Source organism: Homo sapiens, chromosome 11 (assembly GCF_000001405.40).
Source record: "Homo sapiens chromosome 11, GRCh38.p14 Primary Assembly".
Lineage (NCBI taxonomy): Eukaryota > Metazoa > Chordata > Mammalia > Primates > Hominidae > Homo > Homo sapiens.
The window spans coordinates 670,218-692,673 of NC_000011.10; the positions used below are offsets into that span (position 1 = coordinate 670,218).

Sequence of the window (22,456 nt, forward strand, 5' to 3'; positions counted from 1 at the left end):
GGTGGAGATTGAGGCACTTTGCTGTACATACAGTTTACCTCAATTACCAAAAAAGACCAAAAGGACACACAGTAAGTGTTCACGGTCATTATCTTTGGGTGCAGGGTTATAGATTTTTTTGCCTTTAAACTTTCTTTTCCTCTATAAATTTCAGCATTAAGTAGCTGTTTGTTTGGAAGTATACTTTTTTTTTTTTTTTTTTAAAGTATTTTTTTGGCCAGGTGCGGTGGCTCACACCTGTAATCCCAACACTTTGGGAGGCCAAGGCAAGTAGATCACTTGAGGCCTGGAGTTTAAGACCAGCCTCGCCAACATGGCGAAACCTCTTCTCTCCTAAAATACCAAAAAATAGCTGGGCGTGGTTGCACATACCTGTAATCCCAGCTATCTGGGAAGCTGAGGCACAAGAATCGCTTGAACCTGGGAGATGGAGGCTGCAGTGAGCCGAGATCACACCACTGCACTCTAGCCTGGGTGACACAGCAAGACCATCTCAAAATATATATATATCTTTTTCTTTATTTTTTTCCTTTTTAATTTCTTTTTTCTTTTTGTTTTTGTTTTTTTTTTTTTTTTTTGAGACGAGGTCTCACTCTGTTGCCCAGGCTGGAGTACAGTGGTGTGATCACGGCTCACTGCAACATCAACCTCCTAGGCTCAAGCAATCCTCACGTTTCAGCCTCTTGACTGGCATGTCACCACACCTGGCTAATGTTTTTTTTTTTTTTTGAGACAGAGTCTCACTTTGTCACCCAGGCTGGAGTGCAGTGGCGCGATCTCGGCTCACTGCAATCTCCACCTCCCGGGTTCACGCCATTCTCCTGCCTCAGCCTCCCAAGGAGCTGGGACTACAGGCGCCCGCCACCACGCCCGGCTAATTTTTTGTATTTTTAGTAGAGATGGGGTTTCACCATGTTAGCCAGGATGGTCTCGATCTCCTGACCTCGTGATCCGCCCGCCTCGGCCTCCCAAAGTGCTGGGATTACAGGCGTGAGCCACCGCGCCTGGACTTTTTGTTTTTTGAGACAGAGTCTTGCTCTGTCGCCAGACTGGAGTGCAGTGGCCCGATCTCAGCTCACTGCAACCTCTGCCTCCTGGGTTCAAGTGAGTCTCCTGCCTCAGCCTCCTAAGTAGCTGAGACTACAGGTGCCCACCACCACACCCAGCTAATTTTTATATTTTTTTGTAGAGACGGGGTTTCACCATGTTGTCCAAGCTGGTCTCAAACTCCTGGGCTCAAAAGATCCTCCCACCTCAGCCTCTCAAAGCACTGAGATTACAAGTGTGATCCACTGTGCCCAGTGAAAAAGTATTTTAAAATTATCTTTGTCTTCAGGAGTAGAAACACTTTTCTTCCTTGAAAGAAAATTAATGCTGGGTCCAGTGGCTCACGCCTGTAATCTCAGCACTTTGGGAGGCTGAGGCAGGAGGATCTCTTGAGCCCAGGAGTTTGAGACCACCTTGGGCAACACGGCAAGACCCAGTCTCTACAAAAAATAAAAAATAAAAAAATAAATTAGGCAAGCGTGGTGGCATGCACCCGTATTTCCAGGAGTTTGAGCCTACAATGAGCCATGAGCCTAGGCAACAGAGTGAGACCTTACCTCTTAAAAAAAAAAAAAAAAAAAAAAAGAAACACAAAAAACACTAATCACATATTGATCAGTCATTTAAAAAATTAAGAATCTAAAAAGCTCTTCTGCTCGCCTGTCACCATTAAGACATGCCTTTCCTCCCGCTTTGCCATCTGCCATGATGGTGAGACCTCCCCAGCCATGTGGAGCTGCAGTGTCACTGTCATTACCTCAATAGTCATTGAGTGGTGTTGCTGGTGTTTGGAGCTGTGGCATACCTAATGACCATGCATTCCTCCTATGGAAGGCTTCTGGACAATCACCACTACAGGTCCTGGGGAAACTACACAAACCCCTAACATAGAATACGGCCTGGGATGAGAATCACTGTTTGTTATGTGCTTGTCTGGTAGAATCCGTAACAAACCCCTAACATCGAATACGACCTGGGTTGAGAATCACTGTTCATTATGTGCTTGTCTAGTAGAATCCGTAACAAACCCCTAACATCGAATACGACCTGGGTTGAGAATCACCGTTCATTATGTGCTTGTCTAGTAGAATCCGTAACAAACCCCTAACATTGAATACGGCCTGGGTTGAGAATCACCGTTCATTATGTGCTTGTCTAGTAGAATCCGTAACAAACCCCTAACATTGAATACGGCCTGGGATGATAATCACTGTTCGTTATGTGCTTGTCTAGTAGAATCTATAACAAGTACCTGATGTGCACTGAATGACAGAAAAATTTAAAAATTAAAAAATAAATAGGCCGGGCAAGGTGGCTCATGCCTGTAATCCCAGCACTTTGGGAGACTGAGGTGGGTGAATCACCTGAGGTCAGGGGTTCAAGACCAGCCTGGCTAACATAGTGAAACCCCGTCTCTACTAAAAATACAAAAAATCAGCCAGGTGTGGTAGCACATGCCTGTAATCCCAGCTATTCCGGAGGCTGAGGCAGGAGAATCACTTGAACCCGGGAGGAGGAAGCTGCAGTGAGCTGAGATTGTGCCATTGCACTCCAGCCTGAGCGACACAGCAAGACTCCGTCTCAAAAAAAAAAATTTTTTTTAAATAGATAAATAAATAAATACGTATAATCCCAGCACTTTAAGACGCTCAGGCGGGTAGATCACTTGAGGTCAGGAGTTTAAGACCAGCCTGGCCAACATGGTGAAACCCTGTCTGTACTAAAAATACAAAAATTAGCCAGGCATGGCAGCAGGCGCCTGTAGTCCCAGCTACTTGGGAGGCTGAGGCAGGATAATTGCTTGATCCCAGGAAGTGGAGGTTGCAGTTAGCCAAGATCGTGCCACTGCACTCCAGCCTGGGTGATGGAGCGAGACTCCGTCTCAAAAAATAAAATAAAGTAAAATAAAGCAGCAGCTGAAAAAAAAATAATGATAATAAAATAAATACATAAATAAAAAGTTCTTCTATAAAAAGTAGAAGCTGGGCATGGTGGCTCACATCTGCAATCCCAGTACTTTAAGAGGCTGAGGCGGGTGGATCACCTGAGCTCAGGAGTGTGAGATCAGCCTGGGCAACATGGTAAAACCCCGTCTCTACCAAAAATACAGAAAATTAGCCAGGTGTGGTGGTGGGTGCCTGTAGTCCCAGCTACTTGGGAGGCTGAGGCACAAGAATCGCTGGAGCCCGGGAGGCAAAGGTTGCAGTGAGCCGAGATTGTGCCACTGCATTCTAGCCTGGGCGACAGAGTGACAGCCTGTTCCACAAATAAAAATAAAAATAGAAAGTAGAAAAGAAATGGGGGAAAACGTTTCTTACATAGATTTGGTGGGAAAAATATGAATTTGACTTTTGTTTACAAACCAAAGTCCACGTTACCGTACCCGAAAAAGCAGCTACAACAAAATCCATCCCTGTCCTTTCCTGTGGCCTTCAGAGCTCCCCATCTGTGCTGAGCAGACAGGCGCCCTCCTCTCTCACCTTCTCGTCCCCGTGCCCTGTGACACACGGTACCTGTCTGCTGGGTTTGGGCTATGAGAAGTAGCTGAGAAACCTCCACCCTCTCTCCAGTTTACTCTGGCTCTAGTAATTTCTATCTACCCTATTCATGTCACCCACCTGAACCTTTATATTACCTCAAAGTCTTCAATCTAAGTAAAGGGTTCATATGAAGTAGAGACTCCATATGAAAAGAGGCCGAAGGGGCCTAAGTGACCTTTTGCTTGTGCTGCAGTAATAGGAAGCTACAGAAAACATGGGCACTACGCCCTGTGAGCCTCCCACCATGCACAGGAGCCGCCTTCTGAAGAACGTGCCAGAAGCTGGGAGGGCTTTGTGACAGCAGATGGACGGAGCTCGGCTCCCAGGAAGGGGCTCAGCATTCGCCCTGCCAGTCGCTGATACTCAGAGACTCAATAGATGATGTTCTCCAAACTTCATAAAATATAAGCACATTTCACTACAGGAAGACAAAGGATGAATAATGCCTAGAAAAGGTGAGTATTCACAACGGCCGATGCGCACAAAATTGTTTCCCTTTCTGAAACAAAGCAACCTTATTTACAAAAACCAAAACCACCTTAACAACAATAGCTGTCACTTTTCTTTAGGAAAAGCTTCATTTGTAAATGACTCTCCACAGCTCCCTTTTCCAGAAAGGTGGGGCAGGGGCCTTGTGAGCCAAGGTGGGGCTTGCGCAGCTGGGCACAGGCACCAGGGTGGCCTGGGGTTACTCGGCACAGGTCGTGTCTTCCCATTTGTTCCAAGGTTACCTCCTTCCGCTCTGCGTCAGCGTGGATCTTGGCCTGGTTTGTGGCAGCTTCTCGGTAGGTGCTGGCATGCTTGGCTTGCTCAAACAGCGTCTTCAGCTGCTGCGCTGTGTTGAGCAAGGAGTTGACCATCTCTTCTAGGTACAGCCAGCTCCGCGGCTCTGACAGCTCCAGCCCATTGACCAACGCGGGAGGTGCCGCTTTGGTGGGAGTCGGGGGTGGGACCGCCAGCGCAGGCAGGGATGTCAACACTAGAGCATTTGGAAAGCAAAACAAACCAAGAAATTAATACATCTCCTAGCTTCAAAATGGCCTCCGTTAAAAATTCTCAGCCGGGCGCGGTGGCTCACGCCTGTAATCCCAGCACTTTGGGAGGCCAAGGCAGGCGGATCATGAGGTCAGGAGATCGAGACCATCCTGGCTAACAGTGAAACCCCGCGTTTCACTGTGTTTAAAAAAATACAAAAAAATACAAAAAATTGGCTAAAAAAAATACAAAAAATTAGCTGGACGTGGTGGTAGACGCCTGTAGTCCCAGCTACCTCGGGAGGCTGAGGCAGGAGAAAGGTGTGAAGCCGGGAGGCAGAGCTTGCAGTGAACAGAGATGGCACCACTGCACTCCAGCCTGGGCAACAGAGTGAGACTCCATCTCAAAAAAATAAACAAATAAAATTTAAAAATAAAAAATAAATAAAAATTCTCATCACCCGGTGCAGTGGCTCATGCCTGTAATCCCTGCACTTTGGGAGACTGAGGTGGGAGGATCACTTGAGCTCAGGAGTTCAAGACCAGCCTGGGCAACATAGCAGGACCTTGCCTCTACAAAACAGAAATCAAAAACAAAGAACTAGATGGGCATGGTGACATTCACCTGTGATCCCAGCTACTCAGGAAGCTGAGGCGGGAGGATGGTTTGAGCCCAGGTGGTCGAGGCTACAGTGAGCCATGACTGCGCCACCGTCCTTCGGCCTTGGTGACTTAATGAGACCCTGTCTCAAAAAGAAAAGAGGCCAGGCACAGTGGCTCACACCTGTAATCCCAGCACTTTGGGAGGCCGAGGCGGGCAGATCCCTTGAGGTCAGGAGTTCGAGGCTAGCCTGGTCAACATGGTGAAACCCCATTTCTACCAAAAAATACAAAAATTAGCTAGGCGTGGAAGCGTCTATAATCCCAGCTACCTGGGAGGCTGAGGCATGAGAATCATTTGAACCTGGGAGGCAGAAGTTGTGGTGAGCCGAGATGGTGCCAGTGGACTCAAGCCTGGGTGACAGAGTGAGACTCCATCTCAAAAAAGAAAAGAAAAGAAAACTCTCACGCAATGTTGGGAAGTCGGGTAAAAAACTGACCAGCAAACAACAAATCACTGCCTGACATCCCCCCAGCACCTGACACCCCCCAGCACCTGACATCCCCCAGCACGCAGCCTGACATCCCCCGGCACCCGACATCCCCCGGGGCACCTGGCACCCCCCGGCACCCGACACCCCCCAGCACCCGACACCCCCCAGCACCCGACAACCCCCAGCATCCGACACCCCCCAGCACCCGACATCCCCCCCAGCACCTGACACCCCCCAGCATCTGACATCCCCCAGCACCCGACACCCCCAGCACCTGACATCCCCCCAGCATCTGACATCCCCAAGCACCTGACATCCCCCAGCACTCAGCCTGACATCCCCCAGCACCCGATACCCCCAGCACCTGACATCCCCCCAGCACCTGACATCCCCCAGCACGCAGCCTGACATCCCCCCAGCACCCGACACCCCCAGCACCCGACATCCCCCCAGCACCCGACATCCCCCCAGCACCTGACATCCCCGAGCACTCAGCCTGACATCCCCCCAGCAGGCAACACAGGCAGGAGGATGTCCCATCCCTTCCTGCTCCACCCACCCAGCTCCATGTTGTACAACTCATCTGAATGCGGCTGCTGGACCCTGAAATGTTCGCAGAATCAGCGCCGTGGACAATGACCAGGGGAGGGAAGTGGCTAAATCAGAGTCTCGCTGTGTCGCCCAGGCTGGAGGGCGGTGGCATCATCTTGGCTCACTGCCCTCCCGGGTTCAAGTGATTCGCCTGCCTCAGCCTCCCGAGTAGCTGGGATTACAGGCATCTGCCACCAGGCCTGGCTAATTTTGTATTTTTAGTAGAGATGGGGTTTCTCCACGTTGGTCAGGCTGGTCTCGGACTCCTGACCTCAGGTGATCCACCCGCCTCGGCCTCCCAAAGCGCTGGGATTACCGGCGTGAGCCACCACGCCCAGCGGGGTTTCTTACAATTGGAGAAGAAAGTTACAAAGGAACTAGCACAAACCCTGAGGTTCTGCACTGGAACTAGAGACACTGGGGCAAACTCATGGTTTTCAACACACACAGATTTGGAGCACAAACACGCACACGTGCACATGAGAACATTTCTGACTTCTGCCCACCAAGGGCACCTGGGGACAGAGATCCAGGAGCCACATGCACACCTTGTACCAGGGGCAAGCGGTCGATGCGAACCCCAGCCCTCCTGGAGAAAAAGCTCTGATTTCAAGCATTTGCTGATTTCTTGGTATAAATACTTCACCAACACCCACCCCACACTTTTTTTTTTTTTCCAGTTAATAGAGATGGGGTCTCCTTATGTTGCCCAGGCCGGTCTCAAACTCCTGGCCTCGGCCTCCTAAAGTGCTGGGATTAAACAGGTAAGCCACACGCCTGTAATCCAAGCACTTTGGGAGGCCAAAGCAGGCAGATCACAAGGTCAAGAGATCAAGACCATCCTGGCCAACACGGTGAAACCCCATCTCTACTAAAAATACAAAAATTAGCCGGGCATGGTGGCGCGTGCCTGAAGTCTACACTCCAGCCTGGGCAACAGATCAAGACTCCATCTCAAAAAAAAAACAAAAAAAGGATGAGCCACCACGCCCAGCCCTGAGGTAAGCTTTAAAGATGGAAAGAGTTTAGATAGGCAAAAGAGAGAATAATGAAACAAGCAAATGAAAATGAAAAGGTAAGTTTTTCATGAACAAGTTTCTTGCGCTGTCTGTGACAGTGAAAAATGGAAAACATGCATTTGCCACCAGCAGGGGAGGGTTCAATCAATCATGTATTGATCATATGCACCCTTTAAAAAAGTATAATGATGGCTGGGCACGATGGCTCACGCCTGTAATCCCAGCACTTTGGGAGGCCAAGGCAGGTGGATCATGAGGTCAGGAGTTTGAGACCAGCCTGACCAGCATGGTGAAACCCCATCTCTACTAAAAATACAATAACAAAAAAAAATTAGCTGGGCATGGTGGCGTGCACCTGTAGTCCCAGCTACTCAGGAGGCTGAGGCAGGAGAATTGCTTAAACCTGGCAGGCAGAGGTTGCAGTGAGCCGAGATCGCACCACTGCACTCCAGCCTGGGCGACAGAGTGACACTCTGTCTCAAAAAAAAAAACAAAAAACGTATAATTATACAGAAATCTTGGCTGCATGTGGTGGCTCACACCTGTAATCCCAGCACTTTGGGAGGCTGAGGCGGATGGATCACTTGAGGTCAGGAGTTCGAGATCTGTAATCCCAGCTACCTGGGAGGCTGAGGCAGGAGAATCACTTGAACCAGGCAGAGGTTGCAGTGAGCCAAGATTGCGCCACTGCACCCCAGCCTGGGCAATAGAGCGAGACTCAGTCTCAAAAAAATAGAAGTGCAGTTAAACGAAAAATCAAAGTTAGAATGCATTTACAGTGTATCGTCATTTTAAAGATTTAGGCCACATTTAGGCCTTGGTTTTTCTTTCTTTCACCAGATACCGAATGTCTATGCCAGCTCTGGAGAGACCAAGACCTGCCACTGGGGAGTGTCTACCCTCAAGAGGACAACAGCAAACTCACCAGAAAGAACTTCAGGCTTCACAGGCCAACTGGTTTCTAGGGGCGTGCCCTGCTGCTGTACCAAAAGCAACTTCCACAGCACACACATGAATGGACGTGGCTGTGTGTCAGTAAAACTTTATTTACAAACATAGGCAGTGGGCCACACTTTACCAGCCACTGATCTAATGCATCAACAAAAACAACAAACCAAACCAAAATGAATCCCATTTCACTTAGGAATTCTTTCATTGGAAGCAATTCTGAGGACAATAACCTGTACATGTGTGAATTCTTTCAAACCTACCTATTTTGGGATGTGACGTTGGCAACGCAGCTTCTGGAAACGGTGCGATCTGGCAGCTGTCCTGATAGCCGGGGTAGTGAGGCTCAGGGTGGCTGGCCCTGCATGGGGGCTGCACGCTGGCCTCTTGGACTGTTGGGGAGAAAAAGGACAGGGAGGCTCGGGATGGTTGTCCGCACAGCAGACTCTAAATATCACGCTGTATGGCTGCGCCATTCAGTACACATAGTAGCTTATGGCCACACGTGGCTACTGAGCCCCTGAAATGTGGTGATCCTGAATCGTTGACATAATAGGATTGGGGCTATATCAGGTGAAATAAAATAGATTATAAAAATCAGGCCGGGCGCGGTGGCTCACGCCTGTAATCCCAGCACTTTGGGAGGCCAAGATGGGCGCATCACGAGGTCAGGAGATAGAGACCATCCTGGCTAACATGGTGAAACGCTGTCTCTACTAAAAATACCAAAAAAAAATTAGCCGGGCATGGTGGCAGGCGCTGTAGTCCCAGCTACTTGGGAGGCTGAGGCAGGAGAACGGTGTGAACCCGGGAGGCGGAGCTTGCAATGAGCCGAGATCATGCCACTGCCCTCCAGCCTGGGGGATGGAGCGAGACTCCACCTCAAAAAAAAAAAAAAATCAGTTCTAACTCTATTTTCCTCAGTGTGGCTTCTAGAATATTCTCCAGCACACAACCAGCTAGGCTGCATTTCTGTTGCACAACTGCAGTCAAAAGCAGGAGCCGGCAGACAGAGAGTATTTTCAGCTTTGCCAGTTCTGGCATCTGTCACAAGTAACCCACTGCCACACGCCAACCCCATCCACACTGCACCGCCCACCTGACGTGGCTCACACGCTGTCCCCACCAACAAACGCCTGGTTCAAGGCCCCTCTCGAGGCACCCAGCAGCCTATGCAGCCCAATGTGGCGTCGGGGATGTGATGTCACAGACAGGGATATGCTGAGGACGCGTCAGGCAGGCACTGGAGCAGCTCACCTGTGGCCCCTGCGAAGACGTCGCCCTGGGCCGGACTCTCTGATATGACAGCAGTGGCCTCTACCGTGGACGCTCGGTCAAAGGTCAGTGCCCCCGAGGTCGTGATCTGTCCCGAGGGGGTCACGGTGACTGGAAAGGCAGAAGCACATTTCACGCGGCCAGGCAGTGGCGCCCACGGCACACAGGTCCCGTGCCACCCACGGGCGCCAATCCTTGTGGGGGCCTGGGCTGAAGGGCGGGCAGTGGTAACTGTACCCTCCCATGTGAAGGACACGGGGGAAATCCCAGACCTTGGAGAAGACCTCACAGGAGAAAACCAGGATGGCCAGGATGGCAACTTGCCACTACCAATTGTTCGCTGTTTAAACTGTGAACCATGGAAATGTGCTGCCCAGCCAGAAAACAAACATAAAATAAAACTTTCAGTGATTTTTAAGTACTTCGTGGTTCGAATTAAGAAAAAATCTTTAATCCAAGCTGAAGGTAAAAAGCAGCCGTGTCCCACAGCAAGGCTGCCCTGTGTCCCACAGCAAGGCTGCCTCTCCAGCTCAAAAAAAAATCCTGGCGACAGATCTTGAGACTCTGCTGCTGTGGGACTCTTCCTGCACCCACCACCCAGGGCCTCAGGAAGGAGCTGACAGGGTGTTTTAGAAAGACCTTACTCTATAAATGCAAAAACCCAGACTTAGTTAACAAAAGCCTATTACAAAGACATTTTCTCCTATTGCTACCTCTCCCCATTTAAATCCTGTCTGTACAAAAAAATAAAAACATTAGCTGGGCATGGTGGCACGTGCCTGTGGTCCCAGCTACTTGGGAGGCTGAGGTGAGAGCAGTGCCTGAGCCTGGGAGGCCGAGGCTGCAGCGAGCCGGGATCCTGACGCCGCCCTCCAGCCCGGCCACAGAGAAAGACCCACAGAGCTCTCCGCAGCCCTCGTCCAGCGCACTGAGAATCCCTCACCAAGGACGCCCTTGTCAGGAAACGTCCCCTGAGCGTGTGCTGGGCACTCAGCCATGCTCACTCATACTAGGAAACAGCCCAGGACAAGGCCAACAGTGTCCGGGTCCCAGGGAAGCAAGACCGAGCTGGGCACTGGGACACCCCTTCCCACCCGGGGGACGCACTGCAAAGGAGTGTGATGGCGTTGGAATCCCTCTGGCCACGCAATGTGCTTTAGAAGTGAGAATCCCGCAGTGGCCGTGGGAGTGGTGACGAGAGAAGGCAATGCACTCAGGTCCCCTCAGTAAACTAGAGCTGTGTTTTCTCAAACTCACAGGTGGTAGCCGCGGTGGCTGGAAGCAATGTGATGTTCTTGGGGGAGTCCTTCTTCACGGGAGTTGTGGGCAGTTCATTCTCCTTCTTGCGCCTTTTGTAAGGCACAAAAAGCCTGACTGGGCCACTCTGGGGGAGAAAGGAGAGAGGCCACCACCTTCATGTGTGCAAAAGCTATGCTGCGCTTGCAACTCCTCCTTAAGTGGGGGCACCGCGGGGTGTGTGAGTCACATGGTGAGACCACATTAAGATGGTAAGCGCCCCTAAAGATCCCACCTCTTTTTCTTTTTTGAGACGGAGTTTCACTCTAGCTGCCCACGCTGGAGTGCAGTGGCGCCATCTTGGCTTACTGCAACCTCCGCCTCCCAGGTTCAAGTGATTCTGCGTTAGTCTCCTGAGTAGCTGGGATTACAGGCATGTGTCACCACACCCGGCTAATTTTCTTTCTTTCTTTTTTTTTTTTTTTTTGAGACAGAGTCTCGCTCTGTTGCCCAGGCTGGAGTGCAGTGGCACAATCTGGGCTCACTGCAAGCTCTGCCTCCCGGGTTCATGCCATTCTCCTGCCTCAACCTCCCGAGTAGCTGGGACTACAGGCGCCCGCCACCAAGCCTGGCTAGTGTTTTGTATTTTTAGTAGAGACGGGGTTTCACCATGGTAGCCAGGATGGTCTCGTTCTCCTGACCTCGTGATCTGCCCACCTCGGCCTCCCAAAGTGCTAGGATTACAGGCGTGAGCCACCACGCCCGGCCGACTTTTTTTTTTAAATAATTTATATCTCTTCATTGACATTCTCCAGTGAGGAGACAGTGTCTTCAGACCTTCCATGCAATCTCTAGCTGTGGTTTCCTTCAGTCCTCTGAACATACTGAGGATAGCCATTTTAAAGCTTTTTCCTGTTAACCCCAACATCCGGACCTCTCCAGGCAATTTCTGTTGCCTGCTTTCTTCCTGTGTATGGTCCAAGGCTCCTTGCATGTCTTATCATCTTTTGTTAAGAATCAGACACCGCAGGTGATACATTGTAGCAACAGTGGAAAGCAGTTCTCCTTTCTCTGGGATCCTTGCTGCTGTCAGCTTGTTTATTACTCAGGTACGGAGCTGGACTATCTTACTGAGCCTGTTCTCCTGGGGCGGCCTCGGCTGCTGCTCCTCTGAGGGCTCGGCCCTGGGTGGGGTGCAATCACCTTTGGTGGTGGGAGTTTTGGCTGTCGCTCTTCCTGATCTCTGTTAAGCTGTTGGTGTAGTCAAGTGTCAGAATCAACTAACTGCCAGCTGCCTGCTCCATTACTTTCAACAATGCCCTGGGGCACACACTGCTCCACTGTCTGAGCCAATTAAATTAGGGCTTCTTTACTGAGAGGTTCGATCTTGAAGGTCGGTTTCCCAGATGGGTTCTTCGCTGTGGCTTTCCTCGCCTCTCTGGTAAACCTGCTGACCTACAGTTTAGTTTCTTGCTCTAATGGAACTGCTGGCCTCCTCTTAACTGCTTACCATCAAAATGTCCATTCTTTTCCAGGGCACTTTTAGGCTTGAACATCCCCATACTGTTTCAAATCAAGTCAGTTCCTTTGGGAGGGGCTTTGGAGCTCTCTGTTCTTACGGCCTCTCTCTCTTTTGGGCTGAATGTCTGAGCCCCTACTATAGACCTAGAGGCAGGAACAGTGCCTGAGTCTATCAGAGGGAATTCTGTTGCATTAGCCGGGTTCTGTGTGGGGGGCAGCAGCCTCTCACTGCATGGACACCCCACCCTATGGGCAATGTGGGTTGATGGAAATTGGGGCTCCGTATGCTTGGCCTCCCATGCCTGGGTAAAGCCTCTGCCCTCTGAGTGGGGATGACTGAAGAGATTTTCAGTCACACTTCCCAGGAATTTACTGCAACTTAGAGCTGAAGGGGTTGAGAAATGCTGGTGGCCTGCCCCTCCCAGTGAGATACCATATCCCTTGACCGGGAACTGCAAGGAGTGGGAACCGTTTTCTTGGTCACAACCACCCACAATGGAGCCTCCACCATAGGGAGCTGGGGGCAGAAAGGGAGGGAAGGAGCTGGTCGTAGCTCAAACGTCACAATCCTCACTGCCCTTTCCAAGACTTACTACATTTTCTTGGATGTTTATTTGCTGTACTCCCCTAGGACAATTTCTGGAGACCTTAAGGGGTTATTTTTTCACAATTTTCACTAGTTATTTCTCTGGAGAGTTGGTCCACTGAGCTCATCACACCACCACTCCCCAAGCGGAAGCCAAAAGTTCTAAAATTTGATGAAGTCCAATCCAAGAAATCCTAGTTCTAACTCCAGGTCAGGAAGATTTTCCAATGTGTTTTCTCCTAAAAATGTTATAGTTTCACCTTTCACTTTAGATCGATGACCCATTTTGAATTCATTTTTGTACCAAGTGTGAAGTTTAGGTCATCCTTTGTCTCTGCTGATGAACGTCCTGTCACTCCAAGGCCATTTGCTGGAGTCTACTATGACACTCTAGTCTGACCCAGATCGTGGGGTCTCTCCCTCTGCCAGTGCCACACTATCTTGATTACTGTCACGAGCCCGTAAGTCTTAAGACCCCGCAATGTGATTCCACCCATTTTAAACTTTTATTTCAAAACTGTTTTGGCTTTTTTGTTTCAAAACTGTTTTGGCTTTTTTATTTCCTTTACCTTTCTATGCAAATTTTAGAATCAGCTTGTCTGCATCTAAAAAGAATCCTGCTGGGATTTTGATAGTCATTGTGTTAAACCTACGAATCAACTTGGGAAAAAGTCGCATCTTTACTGAGTCTTCTAATCCACGGGCGCAGGACGTCTTTTGACGTATTTCAATCTTCCCTGGTCTCTCTCTTCAGCATTTTCTTTAGTATCTTCCACGTACAAACCCTGTACATGATTTCCTAGACTGACATCTAAGTACTTCAGTGTTGGAGCCCCTGCAAATGATCTACCTGCAGGCTCAACTGCCAATGGGACCGACGTCTCCTCCCGGCTCCTTTACTCCTGCAGCGTCTCTAAGAGTCTCACCGACTGGCTTTTCCCAATCAACTTCAAAATTATTTTACGTTCACAAAATTGTTTTTTCCACTAGAATCACATGAAATCTATATATCAACTACACAATTCTAGGATGTTTAGTGTTTCACCCCAAGAACACGGTAGGTCTCTCCATGCTCTTTTTTTTTTTTTTTGAGGTGCAGTGGCTCACGCCTGTAATCTCAACACTTTGGGAGGCTGAGGCGGGCGGATCACATGTGGTCAGGAGTTTGAGACCAGCCTGACCAACATGGCAAAACCCCATCTCTACTAAAAATACAAAAATTAGCTGGGCATTGTGGCACATGCCTGTAATCCCAGCTACGCGGGAAGCTGAGGCAGGAGAAGTGCTTGAATCCAGGAGGCGGAGGTTGCAGTGAGCCGAGACCGCGCCACTGCACCCCAGTGTGGGCGACAGAATGAGACTTCGTCTCAGAAAAAAAAAAAGAAAGAAAAATTATTTTGGGTCTTTGTGAAGCAGTTAAGAATTTAGAATAAGGAAATACGTCAAAAAGGCGTTAAAAGCTCTACACATGAATAAGTTTACAGTAGCATTTTTCTGACATGTTACAAAATGAGGAATATAAAATGGCATGCATACAAGGAAAAGCGTGTATGTTTAGTTTTAGAGTTAAGGCGGTGACATTATAACCGCTTTTCATTATTTAAGGTTTCCACAAATGTTCTTTGAGCAACATCTTGGGGGCCAACCACGTGTTCCCCATCGAGACATCAGGATTCACTGTGACGTATCAGGGAGGAGGGAACAGAGCAACCCAGGAGAAGTGAGGACAGTGTCTCTCTCCAAGGCAGAGGGCAGGAGGGAAACAGCCGAGAGGCCAAGGGCTGTGGGACCCACTCAGCCGCCCCCAGCCCCACCAAGTCATCCTGTTCCAGACACGCTGGCCACTTACTAAGGTCATGTCGTCGCAGCAGGCAGCACAGGTGCAAGAGGCAGCGTGAGGGTTTAAGATCCCATCCTGAGATGTGAAAAGAACCACCATGCATTAGCAAGTCAGCCCCTAAATGTCAATCATTCAATAATAGAAGATTTCAACCACTTTTACCACTTACCTACCATTCATAAATATAAAAATTCTTTTTTTTTTTTTTTTTTTTGAGACAGAGTCTTGTTGGGTTGCCCAGGCTGGAGTGCAGTGGCACGTTCTCGGCTCAGTGCAACCTCTGCCTCCCCGGCGCAAGCAATTCTCATGCCTCGGCCTCCCAAGAAGCTGGGATTATAGGTTTGCACCACCACACCCAGCTAATTTTTGTATTTTTAGTAGAGACAGGTTTTGCCATGTTGACCAGGCTGGTCTCGAACTCCTGGCCTCAAGCAATCTGCCCGCCTCGGCCTCCCGAAGTGCTGGGATTACAAGCGTAAGCCACCGTGCCCAACCTCATAAAGATAAAAATTCTGCAAAATCAGGGCCGGGCATGGTGGCTCATGCCTGTAATCCCAGGACTTTGAGAGGCCGACGCAGGCAGACCACCTGAGCTCAGGAGCTGGAGACCAGCCTGGCCAACATGGTGAAACCTCGTGTCTGCTAAAAATACAAAAATTAGCTGGGCATGGTGGCGCATGCCCATAGTCCCAGCTACCTGGGAGGCTCAGGCAGGAGGATCGCTTGAACCCGGGAGGCAGAGGTTACAGTGAGCTGAGATCACACCACTGCACTCCAGCCTGGGCAACAGAGGGAGGCCTTTGCCTCAAAAAAAAAAAAAATTGTGAGAAATCAGGTAATGCCCAGGCCAGGTGTGGTGGCTCACACATGTAATCCCAGCACTTTGGGAGGCCGAGGCGGGTGGCTCACTTAAGGTCAGAAGTTCAAGACCAACCTGACCAACATGGTTGGTCTCCATTAAAATACAAAAATTAGGCCGGGTATTGTGGCTCACGCCTGTAATCCCAGCACTTTGAGAGGCGAGGCAGGTGGCTCACTTGAGGTCGGGAGTTCGAGACTAGCCTGGCCAGCGTGGTGAAACCCTGTCCCTATTAAAAAATACAAAAAAAATAGGCCGGGTATTGTGGCTCACACCTGTAATCCCAGCACTTTGGGAGGCCGAGGCAGGCAGATCACCTGAGGTCAGGACTTCAAGACCAGCCTGGCCAACATGGTGAAACCCCATCTCTACTGAAAATTAAAAAAAAAAAAAAAAAAGCCAGGTGTGGTGGCGGGCACCTGTAATCCCAGCTACTCAGGAGGCTGAGGTGGGACAATCCTCTGAGCCTGGGAGGTGGAGGTTGCTGTGAGCCAAGATCAAGCCACTGCACTCCAGCCTGGGCAACAGGGTGAGACTCTGTCTCAAAAAAAAAAAAAAAAAACCACAAAAACAGTAATTTCCAGAGCCTTCTCCTTTTCACAATGCCATTATTGGTGGCAGGACCTACCTCTTTCCTTTCAAGATTTGCAAAAGTCTCTACAGGAATTGCTTCCTTAACAACACCCAAGGAGCTAAACTGGAATAGGAATTAGAAGTCCTCTTTTCTTAGTAGACTGACGAGAAGTTAGGTGACTTTGAAAGGGTCACACGCATTCAAACAGAAGCGATTATCTTAACTTCTACTGTTTTCATTTTTTGTGTATTTGACACGCCCCCTTTCTGCAGCTATTCTGTGCCAGGCGCTGTGACCTCATGCACTTCTCCCAACAATCCTCACAGGGTCACGATCATCGTCATCCCCACGTGAAAGACCCGGAAACTGAAACATGAGAGGGTAAATCACTCGCCCAAGGCCACACAGACAGCAGGTGGAGGCTGCAAACCCCATTTGTCTGACCCCGTGGTCTGTGCCCTCCCTCTGGCTGGGCCGCCTCAGAGGGCCCCACGTCTGAACTGTGTGCTGAGCACAGGTGAGGTCACGGACGATACCTGGATGAGGCACTGCAAGGGTCGGCCCGCGTAGCGAATGCTTCTTTTCCAGTCCTTACTGCTGGCTCTTCCTGCCATGGCCTCAAACTCGGTGGGACTGTACCAGTTCTCCCCCTGCTTGATGCACCGTCCCCGGCCGCCTGCAAGGAAGGGCAGCAGTCATGATGATGGCAGGTGGGAACGTCACCTCTGCCATTGCCTACCTCCTGGCGCCTCCTCAACCCCTCCACCAGCACCAGCGCCCCAGCGGCTCATGTGATCTCACCCACCCACATACTTGGCCCTGACAGGTCCACCACGGGTCTGCCTTTGCAGCCTGTGCCTCTGACCCCCTACGTGATCTCTCCACCCGCTGTCCACAGGCAGTGCAAGCTCAACCAGGTCCCACACTGAGCACCTCTGGTACCCACTTCCAGAGCCTTCATCTACAAGTCCCAAGCTAACCTGGCAACTTGAGGAACACGTCCCAGCCCTGCCTCCCTCCTGCTTCTTCTCGCTTGTCTCCTGTCCCGTGGGTCACGATGGCTTTTCACCCCCAGATGGTTCCTGGGCGCAGCCCTGTCCCGTGCCTCTCCCAGGCCTCAGCTCAGTTCACAGGAACTGGGTGTCACCTGCACCTTTTGTCTTGTTTTTTTGTTGTCGTTGTTGTTGAGACGGAGTCTCGCTCTGTCGCCCAGGATGGAGTGCAGTGGCGTGATCTCAGCTCACTGCAAGCTCTGCCTCCTGGGTTCACGCCATTCTCCTGCCTCAGCCTCCCGAGTAGCTGGGACTATGGGACTACAGGCGCCTGCCACCACGCTCCACTAATTTTTTGTATTTTTAGTAGAGACGGGTTTTCATCGTGTTAGCCAGGATAGTCTCGATCTCCTGACCTCTGATCCACCCGCCTCGGCTTCCCAAAGTGCTGGTATTACAGGCATCAGCCACCGCGCCCAGCCCTGTCTTCTTAACTAGTTCTAGGTGCCATGATTTTCATCTTTCTCAGCCCCCAATTTATGCTAGGGGGGTTACAAAGGGGAATACAACTTTGGAGTCTGAAGTGGCAGTCCTCACCTGAGCCGAGCCTGTTCTTGTACAGAGTGCCGCTGATGTTCCGGCACCGTACGGGCAGCTCACTGTCGTACACAGAAGGGTCCCAGTTGTATTTAGTTCCACCTTTTTCTTGGCCGGGAGCCAGAGGGGTTGGAGGAGACTGAGGACCTTGGGCAGAGAAAGTGTTTGAAGGTGAGAGGCCGGACACCGGGAAGCATAGTACACTCTCATCTCAGACACCACCTCCCCGGCAGCGCCACCTCCTTCAACGGCGGAAAAACTTCTTGGTCAGGAAAATTCCAATGCTTTTACTTAAAATCTATTAATAGATGATATTCCAAATTTACCACAAAAAGAAACAAGTAAATAAATCCCTGAAATAAATTCTAGCTATTCTGAAACGTGTTTTGCCCGAGGCCTGGGGTGCAGGCACCGCTGTACCTGGGGTGAGGGGAGCTGCCGGGCCTTTCAGCCCGGTGGTCTCCACGATGCTCCCATCTGTGTGGACGACAATCAGTGTCGCTTTTTCGGTGTTCAGGCTGTCCCCGATCTGAAGGGCCGTCCTACCAGACTAGAAGGAAAAACCGCTCCGTCAGGTCACGTCCGAGAGTGACACCAGGCGTGTCACTGAGCCCAGCTGGGCCGTCCTCCAGCAGGGCTCTCTGGCTGTTCTCACCAAGAAGGGACGCTCACCTAGGCACCCCATATCTTTTCCAAAGATACCTCTCAAAGACTTGAAAACAGAGCCAAGAACAAGAACAGACAATGCCGAAGTCTGTGTGGTGCTGAGGAAAATGCTTGCCATCATTTGTCAAAGGGAAGGAAGAAAGGTGCTCCACAAACAAGAAACACCCTCCCTTCCACCTGAGCCGCTCCCACAAGGTCACCGTCTTCATGCAGAGTTTCCAACAGACCGAGTTGGCCGCCACAGACAAGGCCTTGTGCAGGACCGCCCTCCAGACCTCCTTACAGATGGCAACTGGAGACCAGGGCCTCAAAACCACATTTCCACACTGGCTGAAGCTGCTGCAACTGCTGCCTGCTTCCAAAATCAGCCTTCAGGCGGCACAGACCCCGCCACAGGAAGCCAGAGTCTCCATGCCCACACACCACTGCTGGAACTTGAACCCTACCTTGGCCAAGTCATCCGGCAAACTCTGGCCTGCAGGCTCTGTTCACCCCACGGTGGGGCAGACCAGAGACTTCCAGGGGCCTCTCTGAACCCCGTGTTTTGGGTGCCCCAAGGTTTTCATTCTGAATACAAAACCAACCGAGGCAAAGTGAGAAAACAACTGTTTCTTTTTTTCTTTTTCTTTTTTTTTTTTTTTTTTTTTGAGACGGAGACTCGTTCTGTCACCCAGGCTGGAGTGCAGTGGCGCCATCTCGGCTCACTGCAAGCTCCGCCTCCCGGGTTCACGCTATTGTCCTGCCTCAGCCTCCTAAGTAGCTGGGACTACACACGCCCACCACCACACCAGGCTAATTTTTTGCATTTTTTTTTTTAGTAGAGATGGGGTTTCACCGTGTTAGCCAGGATGGTCTCCATCTTCTGACCTCATGATCTGCCCATCTCGGCCTCCCAGAGTGCTGGGATTACAGGCAGGAGCCACCGCGCCCAGCTGACAACTGTTTCCTACATCTGAAAATGTCACTGTCAAATCAGAGCACTTGAGTAGAAGTTTATCATGGAGTGGAGGGACCCCCAACACACATGCCTGACGCCTGGGCTCACACAGGGGGTCCTACTGCTGTGCCTGAGTCACCAAAGACCTGCAGCTCTTCACTGGAGAAAAGGAATGTCTTGTGTTTGTTTAAGAGTCACAGAGTATTTTTCTTAGGAAGGGAACACACAGTTATTTCAGACCGTGCCCCGCTTTGTTGTCAGTTTCCAAACAGGAACACACCAGTCTCTGGTCTTCCTGGCCTGGAGGGGAGAAAACCAGCCTCAGGCACTTGCAGGACACCCCCGCTCCATGACGTCAGCACGTTCCAGGCACCCACAGGTGCCTTGGGCTTCAGCCCCTCCTAGGAAATGAGGAGGTGCCCAGACCCCACTGCCAGGAAGGAGCAGCCTGACTGAAAACACAGATCGCCACGTGGCCATGGGTCAGCTTGTGTGTGTTCTCACACCCACCAGAAATAAGCCAAGTTTCTGGGCTGGGTGCGGTGGCTCATGCCTGTAATCCCAGCACATTGGGAGGCCGAGATGGTAGCTACCTGAGGTCAGGAGTTTGAGACTACCTGGACAACATGGGGAACCCAGGAGGTGGAGGTTGCAGTGAGTTGAGATCACTCCACTGCACTCCAGTTTGGGCAACAGAGAAAGACTCTGTCAAAAAGGAAGGGGAGGGGAGGGGAGAGGAGGGGAGGGGAGGGCAGGGCAGGGGAGGGCAGGGGAGGGCAGGGGAGGGGAGGGGAGGAGAGGGCAGGGGAGGGCAGGGGAGGGGAGGGCAGGGGAGGGGAGGGCAGGGGAGGGGAGGGCAGGGGAGGGGGTTTCCAAGTTTCTTATGTTTTTACTGAAGTCCTTCACAAGTTTTCTGTTTGCTGCCATTCTAACAATAACTGTGCTTTCAGGCCGGGTGTGGTGGCTCACACCTATAATCCTTATAATCCCAGCACTTTGGGAGGTCAAGGCGGGCACCTGAGGTCAGGAGTTTGAGGCCAGCCTGGACAACATGGTGACCTGTCTCTACTAAAAATACAAAAATTAGCCTGGCATGGTGGCACACGCCTGTAATCCCAGCTACTCAGGAGGCTGAGGCACAAGAATGGCTTGAACCCAGGAGGCGGAGGTTGCAATGAGCCGAGATTGCACCACTGCACTCCAGTCTAGGTGACAGAGCAAGACCCCGTCTCAAAAACAAAACAAACAAATAACCACTCTGCTTTCAGGTATATGGAGATGATGTCCCAGGTATGTGACCAAGGCTGAAAAGACTACAAGTAACAGGTGCCAATGGTCCCAGGGAAAATCCCTTTCTGGAGACTGGACCCACCCTGGCATCTGCCACTTGGAAACAAGGTTGCCTGCCCTGGTTGACCAGATGTCCCCAGATCGCCGAAGGCCCCACACATAAAACATAAAATAAGCTGATAAAACATGATCACAAAAGGGCTCTGAAGGTGGCACAGACACTATTTGAAATGCAACTGGCTTTCAGCAGTTTTCTAAGTAGACAGCAGTCAGGCGTGGGAGACTGCACCATAAATGCTACGAGAACAGGATATGGGGGAGGGAAACGCCTTGCTTCTTTCAGCTGGCCCTGCAGCTATAGGATAAGGAGCACAGGCAGGGCCGGGCCTCGGGCAGAGGCTGAACTGTGGCCGGACAGCAGCCTGCTGGGAGTCCCTGCCCAACGCAGGCCACAAGCCCATCTGACAGGTGTGGCTCTTCACCTGGCCTTCCGAGGCAGCTTCTACCTCAGCTGTAATTTCTCCCACCTCCAGCACAGCCCGAAGGCCTCTGAGAGCAGAGCGAGCCAGTGCGTCCCTCCCCAGCTCACAGAGCAGACGTTCACACAGCGGGCTGAACCCCGGGAGAGCCTCGGGGAAGCCGGAGGCCCCCAGCGTGGCACCACCCGCCCTGGGCTGTGCCCCTCGGAGCAGCTTACCAGAACATGTCCTGAGATGGATGCCGCGTTCGCCACAGACGTGGTGAAGACATTGTCTGCAGCAGCCCCCACGTTGGCCACTGTCACTGTGGTCACCTCTGCAACAGAAGGAGCCTCATTTAACAAGCAACAAAAGCCAGAATGGACAAAGCGAACAGCCTCGCTCAGGTGCTTCAAACAAAGTGACTCCCCCTCAGGTGTGTGCCCTTGTAACCAGGAAGATCTTAACACTTCCATGAACACGCTCGACCTACATTTCTATTCCATTGTCTAAGTCATTCGGCTCTTCCAGGAAAAAGAGAGGAAATCTATTCTTCCCCAGTAAAGCCTTTTACGTGCAGTAAAAAATGCATACAACAAACCCGCCACCCCAGCCAGCCCCAGCTCTATCAAACCACCACGGGGCTTCTATCTCCTTCTGCGGCACAGCTGTGGGTTCTGCTGGTCAGGTGTGCCCTATGCCTACGAGGAGCTCTCGGCCTCCCCGCAGGTGAGGACACCTCCTGGACCCACTCTTGTAGCTCCATTCCTGCCTCTCCTCCACCGCAGGGGTCAGGCCACCATCGTCAGGTGACCTCGGCCCCATGCTCACAGCCATTGCCCTTGGTCTCTGACCCCTTCCTCCTAAAAAGTACATCTAACCTGCCTATGTCCCTTGGTGCCACCCCACCGCACCCCCTACAACATGGAACTCAGCCCCCTGGCATGCAGACAGGCCCTTCAGCAGCATCTGCACACAGGGCAGTTACCACAGAGGTCAGCTGCACCCCACCTCCTGCCCCTGTCATCCCAGATAGGTCCTGCAGCTCCAGCCTCTACATGCTGGAGTGTTTCTAGAGAAACACTTTCTGCCGCCAACACCCCCACACCCTCCTCTCTGCCTCTGCAAAGTCTTCCTGTGATGCTCCTAGGCCAAGCAAGTGGCTCTTCTGTCACCCAGAGTTCTAGAATGTCCTGTGTCCAGGGCAATCTCTGGCACACAGCAGATGCTTAAAAGATACTGGTTGAATGAGTCCTGACCATACCATTAACCCAGCACTCACCAAACTGCCCTAAAAATGCCTGTTTGCAGCCGGGCGCGGTGGCTCACGCCTGTAATCCCAGCACTGTGGGATGCCAAGGCGGGCGGATCACCTGAGGTCAGGAGTTCGAGACCAGCCTGACCAACATAGA

General features: G+C 51.1%; 1 protein-coding gene across 14 annotated transcripts in view, besides 6 other annotated features; it reads right to left on the reverse strand.

The window, feature by feature from the left end:
- The window catches only part of DEAF1 (DEAF1 transcription factor), a 62,851-nt gene that overhangs the window by 25,985 nt on the left and 14,410 nt on the right, over positions 1-22,456 (reverse strand). For 11 of the 14 annotated variants that reach the window (XR_007062436.1, XR_007062437.1, NM_001367390.1 and 8 more), the window contains exons 2-10: positions 21,284-21,381; positions 18,114-18,243; positions 17,694-17,840; positions 16,641-16,780; positions 14,681-14,746; positions 10,746-10,872; positions 9,471-9,599; positions 8,477-8,605; positions 4,319-4,566 (exon numbers count right to left, since the gene is read on the reverse strand). Coding sequence is in view for 12 of the 14 variants with exons in the window: in NM_001440883.1 (NP_001427812.1) it covers positions 4,319-4,566; positions 8,477-8,605; positions 9,471-9,599; positions 10,746-10,872; positions 14,681-14,746; positions 16,641-16,780; positions 17,694-17,840; positions 18,114-18,243; positions 21,284-21,381 (1,214 nt within the window). In the remaining 2 variants the exon portion in view is untranslated. The remainder of the gene's footprint in view (positions 1-4,318; positions 4,567-8,476; positions 8,606-9,470; positions 9,600-10,745; positions 10,873-14,680; positions 14,747-16,640; positions 16,781-17,693; positions 17,841-18,113; positions 18,244-21,283; positions 21,382-22,456) is intronic. The other 3 variants (NM_001440885.1, NM_001440884.1, NM_001293634.2) reach the window with 3 other exon arrangements.
- Positions 3,700-4,899: an enhancer, noted in NCBI's record as "BRD4-independent group 4 enhancer chr11:673917-675116 (GRCh37/hg19 assembly coordinates)". NCBI's record gives its function as "activates an origin of replication core promoter dependent on BRD2, P300/CBP, MED14 and CDK7 cofactors, and independent of BRD4, by STARR-seq in HCT116 cells {active_cell/tissue: HCT116}" and the evidence as "EXISTENCE:reporter gene assay evidence [ECO:0000049][PMID:35650434]".
- Positions 6,462-6,961: an enhancer, noted in NCBI's record as "H3K4me1 hESC enhancer chr11:676679-677178 (GRCh37/hg19 assembly coordinates)". NCBI's record gives its function as "activates a minimal SCP1, AML or CMV promoter by ChIP-STARR-seq in naive H9 embryonic stem cells {active_cell/tissue: H9 hESC(naive)}" and the evidence as "EXISTENCE:reporter gene assay evidence [ECO:0000049][PMID:30033119]".
- Positions 8,889-9,389: an enhancer, noted in NCBI's record as "H3K4me1 hESC enhancer chr11:679106-679606 (GRCh37/hg19 assembly coordinates)". NCBI's record gives its function as "activates a minimal SCP1, AML or CMV promoter by ChIP-STARR-seq in primed H9 embryonic stem cells {active_cell/tissue: H9 hESC(primed)}" and the evidence as "EXISTENCE:reporter gene assay evidence [ECO:0000049][PMID:30033119]".
- Positions 16,369-16,869: an enhancer, noted in NCBI's record as "H3K4me1 hESC enhancer chr11:686586-687086 (GRCh37/hg19 assembly coordinates)". NCBI's record gives its function as "activates a minimal SCP1, AML or CMV promoter by ChIP-STARR-seq in naive H9 embryonic stem cells {active_cell/tissue: H9 hESC(naive)}" and the evidence as "EXISTENCE:reporter gene assay evidence [ECO:0000049][PMID:30033119]".
- Positions 16,870-17,370: an enhancer, noted in NCBI's record as "H3K4me1 hESC enhancer chr11:687087-687587 (GRCh37/hg19 assembly coordinates)". NCBI's record gives its function as "activates a minimal SCP1, AML or CMV promoter by ChIP-STARR-seq in naive and primed H9 embryonic stem cells {active_cell/tissue: H9 hESC(naive and primed)}" and the evidence as "EXISTENCE:reporter gene assay evidence [ECO:0000049][PMID:30033119]".
- Positions 18,348-19,271: an enhancer, noted in NCBI's record as "H3K4me1 hESC enhancer chr11:688565-689488 (GRCh37/hg19 assembly coordinates)". NCBI's record gives its function as "activates a minimal SCP1, AML or CMV promoter by ChIP-STARR-seq in primed H9 embryonic stem cells {active_cell/tissue: H9 hESC(primed)}" and the evidence as "EXISTENCE:reporter gene assay evidence [ECO:0000049][PMID:30033119]".